This window comes from Homo sapiens, chromosome 15 (assembly GCF_000001405.40).
Source record: "Homo sapiens chromosome 15, GRCh38.p14 Primary Assembly".
NCBI lineage: Eukaryota > Metazoa > Chordata > Mammalia > Primates > Hominidae > Homo > Homo sapiens.
Window position 1 is genome coordinate 66,391,297 of NC_000015.10, and position 15,049 is coordinate 66,406,345.

Sequence of the window (15,049 nt, forward strand, 5' to 3'; positions counted from 1 at the left end):
TTTGTTTTTTGAGACGGAGTCTCGCTCTATCGCCCAGGCTGGAATGCAGTGGCACTACCTCGGCTCACTGCAAGCTCCGCCTCCCAGGTTCATGCCATTCTCCTGCCTCAGCCTCCCAAGTAGCTGGGACTACAGGCGCCCACCACTGCGTCCAGCTAATTTTTTGTATTTTTAGTAGAGATGGGGTTTCACCATGTTAGCCAGGATGGTCTCGATCTCCTGATCTCGTGATCCCAAAGTGCTGGGATTACAGGCGTGAGCCACTGTGCCCAGCCTGCACTGCCTTTTTTTGACTCACCACTCTGTAAGTACACCCAAAATAGTTCTGGCACATAATAGGTCCATAGATGTTTGTTGAGTCAGTGAGTGAATGAAATTTCTAATATTTGCACAACGGGTTTAATAAACCTTTTTATGTCTTTTCCTTTTCTTTTCCCCTTTATGCTCATTCCTTTTTTCCCCATTTTCTTTTGTTTTAGTCACCCACTCAACCATTCTAAGATATTTATATGGTTTTATAATTCCACCTGTTAGTCTGGTTATGTGTATACCCTTGGGAAGTAGAAGGATGGTTTTGTATGTATCTGCTTAGGATTCTAAAATGTTATTGTGCTACAAATCTGCATTTCATAGACAGGATAGAATAGGTTATGTTGAGGTAACAACCACAAAATCTCAGTAATTTAACACACTTTCAGGTCAGTGGGAGGCTCTGTAGATTGGAGTCCTTTAGGGATCCAGGCTGATCGAGGCATCGTCTCTCAAGTATACCTACATGAGGAGGGAATCTTGTGAAGAGCTACATTCAGGCTCTTAAAGTTTTGCCTAGAGGTGAGCCTTGTCATTTTTGCTGCCATTTCTTTGGCCAGAGCAAATCATGTGGCCATGTTGACCTTCAAGGAGGGCAGTGACCTTTTTGGAAGGGGGAGAACCACGAATATTTGTGTGTTTTTTTTGGGTTTTTTTTTTTTTTTTTTTTTTTTAAGAAAGGGTTTCGCTCCCACTGCCCAGGCTGGAGTATAATGGTGCGTGCCACCACGCCCTGCTAAGTTTTGATTGTTTTGTAGAGATGGGGTTTCACCATGTTGCTCAGGCTGGTCTTGAACTCTTGGGCTCAAGCGATCTGCCCACCTCATCTTCCCAAAGTGCTGAAATTATAGGTATGAGCCACTGTGCTGGTGCACCAGGAGTATTTGAACAGAAGCAATGACCATCCCTAAATTTTATATCAGTTTCTTCTTTGTTTTCTTTTCTTTTCTTTTTTTTTTTTTTTTGAGATGGAGTTTTGCTCTTGTTGCCCAGGCTGGAGTGCAATGGCATGATCTCGGCTCACCGCAACCTCCGCCCCCCAGGTTCAAGCTATTCTCCTGCCTCAGCCTCCTGAGTAGCTGGGATTACAGGCATGTGCCACCGTGCCTGGCTAATTTTGTATTTTTAGTAGAGACAGGGTTTCACCATGTTGGTCAGGCTGGTCTCGAACTCCTGACCTCAGATGATCCGCCTGCCTCAGCCTCCCAAAGTGTTGGGCTTACAGGCGTGAGCCACCATGCCTGGCCTTAGTTTCTTTTTTTAACCAATTTTGTTTTGAGCTCTATTCATGATGCTATACAATATGTGTCTAGTTCATTATTTCTCTTGGTTGTAGAGCAGTCATGTTTGCCTGCCACATTTTACTTATTTATTTCTCTAGAATTAGACATCTTTGTTGTTTCCCAACCCCTTGCTGCCTCAAACAGTCATGACCATGCCCATCCTTGCACATCCTTGTCTCCTTTGGATGTTGTGAGAGAGTTTCCTGTGGAATGTACTCAGAAGTGGAATTGCTGGGTCTTAGGGTACATTGTCTCTCCTTCCAGGATAAGGCATGTTATCTCTTTCTCTCTCTCTTTTTTTTTTTTTGAGACCGAGTCTCACTCTGTTGCCCAGGCTGGAGTGCAGTGTTGCAATCCTGGCTCACTGCAACCCCTCCCCACAAGGTTCAAGCAATTCTCCTGCCTTAGCCTCCTGAGTAGCTGGGATTACAGGTGCCTGACACCATGCCCAGCTAATTTTTATATTTTTAGTAGAGACAGGGTTTCATTATATTGCTCAGGCTGGTCTCCAAGTCCTGACCTTGTGATCTGCCCTCCTTGGCCTCCCAAAGTGCTGGGATTACAGGTGTGAACCACCGCACCGGCTATTAATCTCTTTCTTTAAAACAATACCGTTAATCCAGTTGCAGTAGTGAGGCAGGGTACCTCTCAAGATCTCACTTTTTCTTTGACCTTGGGCAAGTCCTTTCTACTTTCTGACTCTTGGTTTCCTTAATCTGTAAAGTGGAGGTGATAATTGTTTACAAAATCTTTACCATGGTGGCCTACAAGGCCCTACCTGACCAGGTCCTTAGTTTTCTTCCAGTGTTCTCTTCACTCATGCACTCTAGCCACACTGTCCTTTGTGCTGTTGGGTTGTAGGTTGGGCACATTCTTATCTTAGAATCTTTGCATTTGCCATTCCTGCTGCCTGGAAAGCTTGTCTCTCAAATACCGTATGACTTGCTTCCTCACTTCCTTCACCCCTCTGTTGAAATGTCTCTTCACAGAGGCCATCTTTGATCACTGTAATACAGAACTCCCTGTCATTTTCTACCCTTTGATTTTGCCTTATTTTTCTTTGTAGCGCTGATCACTAACTGATGTTACATCGTGTATAAGTATTTATCTTCTTCTGCCACCCCAAGTGTAAGCTTCATGATGGTTGGGGCTTTGCCTTGTTCATTGCTCAGTGTGTAGAACAGATTCTGGCACATAGAAAATACTCAGTAGATACCTGTTGATTAAATGATTGACTAGATCCTACCTCAGAGGAATACCTTTGAAGATGTATAAAATTTCTTTGAAGGCTATAAGGTGCCGAATAACCTTAGGAGGGTTCACTGCTTGGCCTTAGTAGCGTTCATGATTTTGGATTTTGAATTGTTTCTATGTAACCCTGAAACACTCAGACTTACTTATTGCATTCAGGGTGTAGTTCATAGCATCAGCAGTTCTGCCAGGTTTGTAAGGAACACACATCTGTTAGAGTGTGAAGGCCCTGGAGGAAGAAAGGTTGAGACAGGTTGATGTGCTTTTTTTTGTCTCTTATGGCTCTTTCTGAGATGTGTACCATGATGATAACCAGGAACTTTTTTTTTTTTTTTTTTTTTGAGAGACAGGGTCTTGCTCAGACACTCAGGCTGGAGTGCATTGGTGCTCACTATAACCTTGAACTCCTGGGTTCAGGGAATCCTCCTGCTTCAGCCTCCTAAGTAGCTAGTACTACCGGCATGTACCACCATGCCTGGCTAATTTTAAAATTTAGAGATAGGGTCTTGCTGTATTGCCCAGGCTGGGCTCAAACTCCTTGCCTCATGCAATCCTCCCTCCTTGGCCTCCCAAAAGTGCTGGGTTTACAGGCATGAGCCACCATGTCTGGCCTGATAAGTAGGAGCTTTTGAAGTGGTTTCACACTGATTTTGTAGTTTTGAACTTGGATGCTTCTTTTGGGTAGTTGATGCAGTAACTAATACTGGTGCTGTCTTTCAGAACAGCTTCATGTGAAAAAGGCCTGCTTAAGCCTGTGTCTTTGGGAAGAACATCTCTGCCGCTGTTACAGCAGATACAGTAATAGCAAAGAAAGTCTTAAAGATGATTTAGCCCATGGCAAGGAAATATATGGGACTCTTGTTTGAATATAAACACTCACAGAATTCCAGTTTCACTTATTTATGCACCTTTCAAAGAAAGGAAGAAGATACTGTGGTAGAGTACAGTAGTCCTCCCTTATCTGAGTGGCATATGTTCCAAGACCCCTAGTGGATGCCTGAAACCACAGATATCAATAGTACCAAACCCTGCATATACTGTGTTTTTTCCTATGCAGTATATGCCTATGATGAAGTTTAATTTATAAATTAGGCATAGTAAGAGATTAACAATAATAACCAATAAAAAAGAATTATAACAATATATTGTAATGACAGTTACATGAATGTGGTTACTGTACTCACTGTGGGTAACTGGAATTGTCAAAGCAAAACTACATTTAAGTGGGTACTCCTGTAGCTGTTGGCCCTGCCTTGCCTATCTAGCTTAATTTTCCTCTGTTTTTCCGTTCACCTGCTGTGGTCCACTTACCACTTTCTTTACTCTCCTCACTGTGCCACCAGCATACTGTTGCTTACCTTCTTACATCTGTCTGGTCTTGCTGACATGGTTTTTTTTTTTGTCTGAAATGCCCTCCTCCACTTTCTTGCATGATTTTTTTTTTTTTTTTTTTGAGACGGAGTCTCACTCTGTCACCCAGGCTAGAGTGTGCAGTCACATGATCTTGGCTCACTGCAACCTCTGCCCACTGGGCTCAAGTGAGTATCGTGCCTCAGCCTCCCGAGTAGCTGGGATTACAGGCGCACACCACCACGCCGGGCTAATTCTTGTTATTTTTAGTAGAGACGGCGTCTCACCATGTTGCCCAGCCTGGTCTCGAACCCCTGACCTCAGGTGATCCACTGCCTCAGCCTCCCAAACTGCTGGGATTACAGGCGCCTGGCCCTCTTGCATGTTTTTATTTTTGTTTTATACTTGCCACTACACTTTAACTTCTGTGAAAACAGGGACTGTGATTGTCTTGTGTACTGGTATTTCTCCACCGTCTGCTGTGGGGCCTAGAATAAAATAAATGGTACCCATCTTTTTTGTTTTGTTTTGTTTTTGGAGATGAGTCTCACTCTGTCCCCAGACTGGAGTGCAGTGGCGCGATCTCGCCTCAGTGCAACCTATGCCTCCCGGGTTCAAGCGATTCTCCTGCCTCAGCCTCCCAAGTAGCTGGGCTACAGGTATGCGCCACCACATCTGGCTAATTTTTGTATTTTTAGTACAAAATTTAAAAATGATGGCCTCGATGTCGTGATCCGCCCTCCTCGGCCTCCCAAAGTGCTGGGATTACAGGTGTGAGTCACCGTGCCCGGCCCTTTTGTTTTTTTGAGATGGAGTTTCACTCTTCTCATCCAGGCTGGAGTGCAGTGGCATGATCTTGGCTCACGGCCACCTCCGCCTCCCACATTTTCCTGCCTCGGCCTCCCAAGTAGCTATGATAACAGGCACACACCACCATGGCCGGCTAATTTTTTTATTTTTAGTAGAGACAGGATTTCACCATGTTGGTCAGGCTGGTCTCGAACTCCTGACCTCAGGTGATATGCCTGCCTCAGCCCCACAAGGTGCTGGGATTACAGGCGTGAGACACCGTATCTGCCCCGGATGGTACCGATCTTTCAAGATCTTACATAAAGCTTATCTCCAATGTGTGTAGTCTTTTCTGAGCAACTCCATGCCATGCTCAGTTACATCACTCCCTACTTAGTTATAATAGTTCTTTTTTCTTTTTTTGAGACAGAGTTTTGCTCTTGTTGCCCAAGCTGGAGTGCAATGGCGTGATCTCGGCTCACTGCAACCTCTGCCTCCTGGGTTCAAGCGATTCTCCTGCCTCAGCCTCCCAAGTAGCTATGATTATAGGCGCACACCACCACTCCCAGCTAATTTTTGTATTTTTAGTAGAGGCAGGGTTTCACCATGTTGGCCAGGCTGGTCTTGAACTCCTGACCTCAGTTGATCTGCCCACCTCGGCCTCCCAAAGTGCTGGGATTACAGGCATGAGCTACCATGCCTGGCCTGTAACGCTTCTTTTTTTTTTTTTTTTTTTTTTTTTTTGAGATGGAGTCTTGCTCTGTCGCCCAGGCTGGAGTGCAGTGGCACAATCTCGGCTCACTGCAAGCTCCGCCTCCTGGGTTCACGCCATTCTCCTGCCTCAGCTTCCCGAGTAGCTGGGACTACAGGCGCCTGCCACCACGCCCGGCTAATTTTTTGTATTTTTAGTAGAGACAAGGTTTCACCGTGTAGCCAGGATGGTCTCGATCTCCTGACCTCGTGATCCGCCTGCCTCGGCCTCCCAAAGTGCTGGGATTACAGGCGTGAGCCACGGCGCCCGGCCTGTAACACTTCTTAATGGTGTGACCTCGGTCATATCACTTAACCTCACTGAGCCTAGTTTTCCTCATTAGTAGAGTAAGGCTGGTAATAAGAAACCCATGAGGGAAGTAGGGTGGGAGAGCATCATCCAAAATAACATACACGGAAGCACTTTATGGGGAGGCAAGAGTGGGAAAAGAAAAAAGCACTTTATGATCACTGGAATGCTATGCAAATGGATGTGTTAATGATGCCGGCTTTTGATTTCTTCCTTCTTAGAAGGCTGAATGGTTCCTTTTGTTCTTAATAGCAAATTGTAAATGTTGATAAATCATGTTGATTTAGATATTTCATACGCTGCTTGTCCTTCAAATCTAGCCCAAACCTACATCTAATCAAGCCTTTAGACCTAACTTCCTGTTTATAGCAAATACGGGGATAGAGGAATGAGTTAATGGCACCAAGAGGAAACAATCAGACAAACCTAGGATGTGGAACATTCTCTAAGACAACTGACCTAGTCTCTTAAAAAGTCAGTATAGGCCATTTGCGGTGGCTCACGCCTGTAATCCCAGCACTTCGGGAGGCCGAGGCGTGCAGATCACGAGCTCAGGAGTTCGAGACCAGCCTGGCCAACATAGTGAAACCCCATCTCTACTAAAAATACAAAAATTAGCCAGGTGTGGTGGCACGTGCCTGTGGTCCTAGCTACTTGGGAGGCTGAGGTGGGAGAATTGCTTAAATCCAGGAGGCGGAGGTTGCAGTGAGCCAAGAGCATGCCATTGCACTCCAGCCTGGGTGACAGAGTGAGATTCCATCTAAAAAAAAAAAAGTCAGTATAAGGGTGGGCATGGTGGCACACACCTGTAATCCCAGCACTTGGGCACTTGGGGAGACCTGCCAAGTCAGGAGGATTGCTTGAGCCCAAGAGCTAGAGACCAGCCTGGGCAACATGGTGAGACCTTGTCTCTACAAAAATACAAAAATTAGCCAGATGTGGTGGTGCGTGCGTGTAGTCCCTGCTATTTGGGAGGCTGAGGCGGGAGGATTGCTTGAGCCCAGGTGGCGAGATTGCAGTGAGCGGTAATCGTGCCACTGCACTCTAGCCTGGGTGAGAGTGGGACCCTGTCTCCAAAGAAAAGGTGATATCAAGGGAAAAAAAGGAGAGTGGTGCTGTTCTAGGATAGGAGACTAAGGAGACATACAGATCAAATGTACTGCATGGGTTGGGCATGGTGGCTCACACCTGTAATCTCAGCCCTTTGGGAGGCTGGGGCAGGAGGATCATTTGAGCTTGGGAGGTCCAAGCTGCAGTTAGCTATGATTGTACCACTGCACACCAGCCTGGGTGACAGAGTGAGACCCTGTCTCAAAAACAAAACAGAAAAAAAAATGTACTGCATGAATCCCAATTGTGTACCGGATCAAAAAATAGTTATAAAATGCATTGTTGAGACAGTTGGGGAAATGTGAGTAGAGTATTGCTAATTTTTTTTTTTTCTTTTTTTTTTTGAGACAGTCTCACTCTTGTCGTCCAGGCTAGAGTGCAGTGGTGCGATCTCGGCTCACTGCAACCTCCGTCTCCCGGGTTCAAGTGATTCTTGTGGCTCAGCCTCGAAGTGGCTGGGATTACAGGCACGTGCTACCATGCCCAGCTAATTTTTGTATTTTTAGAAGAGACGGTGTTTCACCATGTTGGCCAGGCTGGTCTCAAACTCCTGACCTGAAGTGATCCGCCTGCCGCGGCCTCCCAAAGTGCTGGGATTACAGGCGTGAGCCACCGTGCCTGGCTGTATTGCTAAATTTTTAATGTAATGATGGTACAGATATTATATAGGAGAATTCATATTCATACATAATGCACAAAACTTACTCTGAGGTTCAGGAAAAAAACTCAAACATACACAAACAGTGGATAAAGCAAATGGAACGGAATGTTCACAGTTGTTTTGTTTAGTTAGAGTTTTACTTTTATTCTTTCAATTTTTCTGTATGTTTGAAAAAAATTTGTAATACATTTAAAAAGTACCCCAAAAGCAAAACTCATTCCAAGTCTTATGTACTTTAATGTCAACTAATATTTGCTCTTTCCCATCCCTAGATTCCTTTGTGCTGCTTGTCTACATTGTATGATAAACATCACATTAAATGCAATCTCTCCCCTCCCACCCCCTCTTTTTTTTTGAGATAGGATCTCGCTTGCTGTGTTGCCCAGGCTGCAGCGCAGTGGTGTGGATCGTGGCTCACTGCAGCCTCACCGTCTGGGCTCAAGTGATCCCTCCCCAGAGCCTCCACTTCCCAGTACCCGGGACTATAGGCACGTGCCAATACACCCAGCTATTTTTTTTCACTCTCGCCCAGGCTGGAGTGCAGTGGCACGATCTCATGTCACTGCAGCCTCCACCTCCCGGGTTCAAGTGATCCTCCTGCCTCAGCCTTCTGAGAAGCTGGGACTACAGGCATGTGCCACCATGCCTGGGTAATTTTTGTATTTTTAGTAGAGATGGGGTTTCACCTTGTTGGCCAGGCTGGTCTGGAACTCTTGACCTCGTGATCCGCCCACCTCAGCCTCCCAAAGTGCTGGGATTACAGGTGTGAGCCACCATGCCTGGCTATCGCCCAGCTGTTTTTGTATTTAATTTTAGATTCAGGGGGTATATGTGCAGGTTTGAGCATGATGCTGAGGTTTTGGCTTCTTGCATAAGTACTTTATTATATTACTATATAATTTTTATTCACTAAATCTACTTTATGAATCTTTTTCTTATTAGGAAACATACTTTTTTTGTGTACAGTGTACAATTGAATGTACAGCATTGCTGATTCGATATATCATTATTGGTAGATTTGAGAACACCAAAATACATTTAAACAAACAAACTAGCAAAAAAAAACCTTTTCTGCTGGCTTTTCTTTTCTTTTCATTTAAGACAGGTTCTCACTCTGTTGCCCAGGCTGGTCTCAAACTCTTTGGCTCAAGCGATCCACCTGGCTCAACCTCCCAAAGTGCTGGGATTACAGGTGTCAGCCACTGTGCCCAGACACTTTCTCTTTTTTTCTTAACTCCCTCTTTGGAACTTTTTGCTAGCATTTCTCTGTGTGGATATTCCACCACATCCCCCTGAAGTATGAGTCAAGCAGTGGTGAATCTTTCTGACACATTGAGAAAGCAAATCCAGAGAACACAGAGACTAGGAACAAAATGAGGCAAACCTGAGAAAAAAGCTTAGGGTTCCAGCTTTGTTTCTGTTGTTCACTTCCAGAAACTGCCAATTTCGAAAAATCGTCCTGGTCTCTTGCTGCAACTTGATTGTGTTTTTACTTCATGTCCTGTGCCCTTGTTGCTCAGAATCCCAAGAGAGCTGTTTAGAGGCTCAGTTACATGTTTGCTAAGTTTTCGTCTTCTCCTCCCAAGATGAATAGTGTTTTGTTTTGAAATAGCAGGTGTTTTCTGAATCCCATGAAGGGCCAAAAGCTAAAAGTGCTGATCCTGACTCTGATTTCGCTGCATAACTCCCAGGGGCATCCTGCTCTGATGTCAGGAAGGGAGTCAGGTTAAGAAGAGGTCACCTGGAGGTTGAAGAGAAAATGGACAAGGTAGAAAGACCTTGAGCCCCTCCCTTTGAATAGTTGCCTGCTTAAGGACAATGCTTTAAAATTTTTGAATGTATGAATACCTTCTAAAGAAAAAACCTATAGACATTACATTCTCCAGTTTAACTGTGTTTATTCCATTGTATATGTTTTTGGATAGTCGAGATCAGTTGATTTTTTCCTGATTTTTACACATGGACATAATCCTCATCCTTGTCATTTTTATTGGCTGAAGAGTAGAGTTTGATAGGATCTGGCTAAGCAAATGACACTTTGTTGATTATTAGGTGGCTTCCAGATTCTTATTATTTAATGATAGGCTTGTAAATGTTTTTGAGTCCATTTATTTTGTTTTGCTTCTAGATGAATTCATCTACCAAATCAGAGGCAATGGACCGTGCTACTGCTGTTGTTACATATTAACAGAATATGTTCCAAAAAAAGATTGAACCAATTTACAATGTATATTTCAACTGTTTCCTCAAGCCTCAGAACTTTTTTTTTCAGTTTAGTGGTTTTTGATAGTTTAATAGGCAGTTTAAGGGCTCCTTTAAAGGTCAGCTTGCTTCCCTTTAATTGTTGTATTTTTGAATTGCATCAATTCAGTTTAAACTCATATTTATTGAATGCTTACTGAATGTAAATCACTATTCTGGGAGCTGCAGGTAGGTGACTCAAGATGAGTAACATTATCTCAGCCTTCAAGGATCTTAAAATCTAATATGAGAGTGTAGGGGGAGATTTTAGGAGCACAAGAAGGAGGAAACAATGGCTGCAGAGTAAGAAAAGTGCCACAGAAAAGCTACAAAGCAAGCACTGTTGGAGCTTGGCCTGAGGAGGGAGTGTGCGCATCCAGGAGGGGAGATGAAGAGAGCCTTCATGGAGGAGATGACAGTTGAACTGGGTCTTGAAGGATGGCTAGGATTCCATGGGAATGGAGGGGCGTGGCAGGAAGAGAGCACGGGATGAGCAACTTCACACAAGTGGGAAAGCCTGGGATGTGCAGAGAAGCCAGCAAGTAGTTGAGTGTGACGGGTGCATCGGTTCGGGTCGAAGGAAATGAAGCTGGAGAGGTAGGCTGAGGTGGTTTTGTGGTTCCAGGCTGAACATTTTGAAAAATCACATGCAAATTTTTCTTCCTTTCTGATCATTTTAAAGTATTTCTGAGTAGTTTTTATATGCTTTGTATTTTGAAGTTTTATAAATGATGTGGTTACTACATTGTTCCATTGTGTGTAATGTATTAAGAAAAAATATTTCATTTTTAAATATTCAAAAGCGTGTTTTTTGACTGGGCATTATGTATAGCATACTTTTCATTAGCGGTTTAACATCTGTCATCTCTACACAACTAGCAGGAATATGTGGCTTCATTTTCTTCTAACCTTTTTCCCCCTTTTGTGATTAACTCTTTTTCCCATGTGGAATTAATATGCTCGGTATGAGGTGTATGTCTAAGTTAATTTTTCTCCACAGTGAAGTCTAGTGTCTTACTGGAGTTTACTAAACATGATGCATTTATCCATCTGTTGTATTTTCAGGTTTACCTTGGTCTTTATGATATTTTTATCTACTAAAACTTTTAACCCACTCTTACGTAGTTTTGAGAGTCATATATATTTTTTAATTTGGTGGGGTTAAGGAAAACTTCAGCAATTTTCGTGGGGTATCTTTCCATTTGTTCATGTGTTCCTCTTTCTCATTTTAGGGTATTATAGTTTCTTAATAATTCTCTTGCGTCCTGAGTTAATATTTCAAATACGTAACATTTTGATGCTGTTGTTATTGAACATTTTTAAGTTTGTATTTTCCATCTCGACTATGGTTTGTTTTGTATGAACTGGTTATATCCAGCAGCTTTGTTAAATCCACTTAATCTATCTAGTAACGTTTTTTGATTGAATATATATGCATTTGTAGATTTACTAGTGTCATCTGCAAAACAACTTTTTCTTTTCAATGTGATAGATATTTTATAGCTGTCTCATCTTGCGTTGCTCTCAGTAGCAGTTCTGGTGTCTCAGGGAACACTATTAAGTGTAACGAGGTTTCTCAAGGACCTCCTGGGCCAGGGACTTTTCTGTTCTTTCCAAGGAGCTGTGAAAAAAGGAAGCAGCTGCCCAGATTTATAGAAGCAGAGCTTATTAGGGCTGGATGGGACCTAACAGGTTCTCTAGACCTGGGCCTTCATTTGAGAGATGAGGAAACCAGACCTAGAGAGGTGTGAATTTGCCAGAGTTCACACTGCTGCAGTGGAAGGAGGTGGTTGAGCTTTTACTCTTATTTTTTTATGGTACATATTACATACAGTACATGTTTTCATTTGGGAAAGTTACTTGGTTTGACAGTTTTCCAAGTTTACCCAACATTAAATTTTGGTAACTATGCAATATCCTTAAAAAAATTATTTTCAAGTAATTATCTGAAGCTCTAGAAAAGGTTACCCCTCTATATCCTCACTCTCCTAGGTGGTTGAGGGAAAAGAGAATAAAGAAAAGTTGTGGGGTTGGGGCTGGGACAGGGAGGAAAGGGTATTTTAGTCCTTGATCCTTAGTAGGAGGGCCTATTTTTAAGCTTCATAATGTCAGTTTTAAAAGCAGTGGTTTTCAAAATAACCGCAGACGAAAGTCCCCTTGAAATGGATGCCTTTCTGGAATTGACCTATTTTGAGTTTAGCTGTTACCAGAAGGGTTCAGAATCTCGAATGCTCTTAAATGCATTTACTTTTCAGACAAAGTGGAAATTGAGTGCATAATCCACGTGGGTTCCAGATTCAGGTTAAATTTAGAAATTTGGGGAGTTGTGGAGAGAAGACATGAAATGAGTCAATCGTTGTTTTACAGGTTTGTCCGAATCCAGGTTAATTATATTTCCTTCTTTATTGAATTATAATTTGTATATCCAGGTTAGTTTTACAAATTAGATCAGACCCTCAGTCCATTTGAGAGTAGACTCAGAGTCAGAATTATTTGCCCCCTTTGCTGCTTTCATACCACCCTTTAGTAAACAGTCCTCAAGAATGTCCTTATGTCGGGGAGGGCAGACCTCAGAAGTTAGCAAGAATTCCAAGCTCACTGTAAACCTTTTGTTTAATGGTTTACTCAAATCCAGATAGAAATTCTACCAAAATGCCAGCCTGTATTTCAGCTCCTCTTTCTTGGAGTCTTTAGGATGGTGGGAAAACAGGCAGAAGAAAGCTGTTTAACATTCCAATAATTATTAATAATAGAAAATGTATCCTGCTAATCAGGCACTCATTTGCGTCCACTGATAAAACTAGGTCATTGGAGCCAAGGAAAGGTACCGTTCACTAAAGGAAAGACCAGTAGATAGTCAGGCATGGTGGCGTGTGTCTGTAGTCCCAGCCACTCGGGGGCTGAGGCAGGAGAATCACTTGAACCAGGGAGGTGGTGGTTGCAGTGAGCGGAGATCGCGCCACTGCACTCCAGCCTGGGTAACAGAGTGAGTGAGACTCTGTCTCAGAAAAAAACAAAACAAACAAAAACAGTGGAATATTGGGCTAAGCTCTTAACACATTATATTTAGAGATTGCAACACTTCAATATTTACTGGAATACTCCTATAAAACGGTCTCTTTTGCCTTGTTTTATTTTGGTAACTAAGTGAATGCTGGGTTAGCCATAAAGGTAGCTTGCTGCATTTCTATTTCTTGTGTTCTAAATCACTGAATAATTTTTTAAAAAAGTAGTTCTAAAGCATTTCCAGTTAAAAAGGAAGGCGTAACATTTATTAGGGGAAGTCAAGGGGAGAGGTAGTGAGGAAAGTACCAGAAACCACCAACAGGTGTTTCGGTTACGTTGAACAAAGAATCAGCTTGATATGCAGTCCCTGGGAAGAGTTTGTAAATTCCTGAAGGAGGGTGAGAGCTGGAGGGGACACGGTGAGCGGAAATGGTGAGCGGAAATCAGTGGTTCCTGAGGCACAGAGGACTTGGGTTACCGGAGGCTTGCCCTCAGCTGAGGACCTGGGAACAATTCCTGAGCAAGTTGCTTTTTTGATAGACAAGGATGCATCTGTAGGACCACTGCTGTTAATCTGTGGGGCAATAAGAATTGATCCTACTGCAAGAAAGAGAGTAGGATAAGTCAGAAGACATGGAACTTGTATCCCTAGAGGACATCGCAACTGGAAAAATAGCTACCATTTATGAAGGCCTACCTCATCTCTTTGCATTCATTATCTTGAATTTGCACTAAAATTCTGCAAGAAAGGTCATAGTATTCTATTTTACAAATAAGGAAAATTAAGCTCAGGGAAGTTATTTCATAAGGTTGCACAACTAGTAGGTGGTAGAGCTAAGTTTAGACTCAGGTCTGTCCTACTCTGATAGGCATGCTTTTTCCACACGGCCCTCTCAGTACTGTGTAAAATGCCAGAGGGCTTTCTGGATCTTCACTTCCCAAAACTGCTAAATTTAAATTAATTAAAATTAAAGTTGAAAAATCAGTTCCTAGGTTGCACTGCCCACATTTCAAGGGCTCAGTGTCCATGTGTGGCTAGTGGCTACTATACTGGACCAGCACGGATTAGAATGCTTTCTTCATTGCAGAAAGTTCTATTAGTGCTGGTCTAGAGGTCATTCAGTTTTGCCCCTTTATTTAATTTTTTCCCCCTTTTATTCCACAAAGGAGAAAATGAGGGACAAAGAAAGGAAGTAACGTTCAGCATCAGACAGCTAATTAATCCAGTTTTTTGGACTGGTTGCCTGTTAGATTTTCCCATGCCCCACATTCTTCCCTTAAAAAAATGAACAGAATGGAAATGTGAGAAATGGAGTGACTCCGCTACTCTCCCAGCTTTGCCTGGCCTTTAAACTAGATTCTTTCTCCCAAAGAATCCTGCATTTTACCAAGTTCAAAGGGCATGTCCGGATTAGTTTCCCCAAAGGAAATGAAATATATTTGTTGGAAAGGAATTCCATTCTTAATGTATGAAATAGCACTTGGATTCCCTCTGGTTCTTTCTCTGACTTCCTACCAAGCGCTTTGTAATTGAACTTGCAGCTGCTAACCATTTGTCTTCCAAAGGAGACCAACTTCAAACAGTTCAAATGACAGAGGGATGTATACTTTGAATGCAAGCAGCTGCCTATTATTTGCCATTGATTCAAATGGCATTTATGTTAGAGTCAAATAGATTTAGATTATGGCCAAAATTACAACAATAGATTTCTAACTTGTATGTTAAGAGTAAGATGTATTAACAGTCATTGAACTGATGTTTAGTGTTTAACTCATACATACCAGGCACTGGGTTGCAACATGAACTAAAAGGACTTTTGCTGAAATGGAAAAAGATGTCTTATTATGGACAAGTTGAATGCATTTTAAATTCCTGTCTGAATTATATTGCTGGTATTTGCCATCCATGTACCTTCCTGTTTAGCCTTGAAATTCAGTAAAAGCCTCAGTGTGGATCATACTTCATAGCTCTGAAGTAAAGTGAGGAGT

General features: G+C 42.7%; 1 protein-coding gene across 4 annotated transcripts in view, besides 2 other annotated features; it reads left to right on the forward strand.

Moving 5' to 3' along the window:
• Nucleotides 1-15,049, forward strand: part of MAP2K1 (mitogen-activated protein kinase kinase 1) — a 104,633-nt gene that overhangs the window by 4,385 nt on the left and 85,199 nt on the right. For 2 of the 4 annotated variants that reach the window (XM_011521783.4, NM_001411065.1), the window contains exon 1: nucleotides 10,583-10,651. The exons of the other annotated variants lie outside the window; for them this stretch is intronic. In XM_011521783.4, the coding sequence (XP_011520085.1) occupies nucleotides 10,638-10,651 (14 nt within the window). In that variant the 5' untranslated portion in view covers nucleotides 10,583-10,637. Of the gene's footprint in view, nucleotides 1-10,582; nucleotides 10,652-15,049 lie in introns of those variants that run through there. 4 annotated transcript variants of the gene reach the window in all.
• Nucleotides 11,684-11,803: a silencer, noted in NCBI's record as "silent region_6565". NCBI's record gives its function as "represses an Ori minimal core promoter by ATAC-STARR-seq in GM12878 lymphoblastoid cells {active_cell/tissue: GM12878}" and the evidence as "EXISTENCE:reporter gene assay evidence [ECO:0000049][PMID:35858748]".
• Nucleotides 12,501-13,294: an enhancer, noted in NCBI's record as "OCT4-NANOG-H3K27ac hESC enhancer chr15:66696135-66696928 (GRCh37/hg19 assembly coordinates)". NCBI's record gives its function as "activates a minimal SCP1, AML or CMV promoter by ChIP-STARR-seq in primed H9 embryonic stem cells {active_cell/tissue: H9 hESC(primed)}" and the evidence as "EXISTENCE:reporter gene assay evidence [ECO:0000049][PMID:30033119]".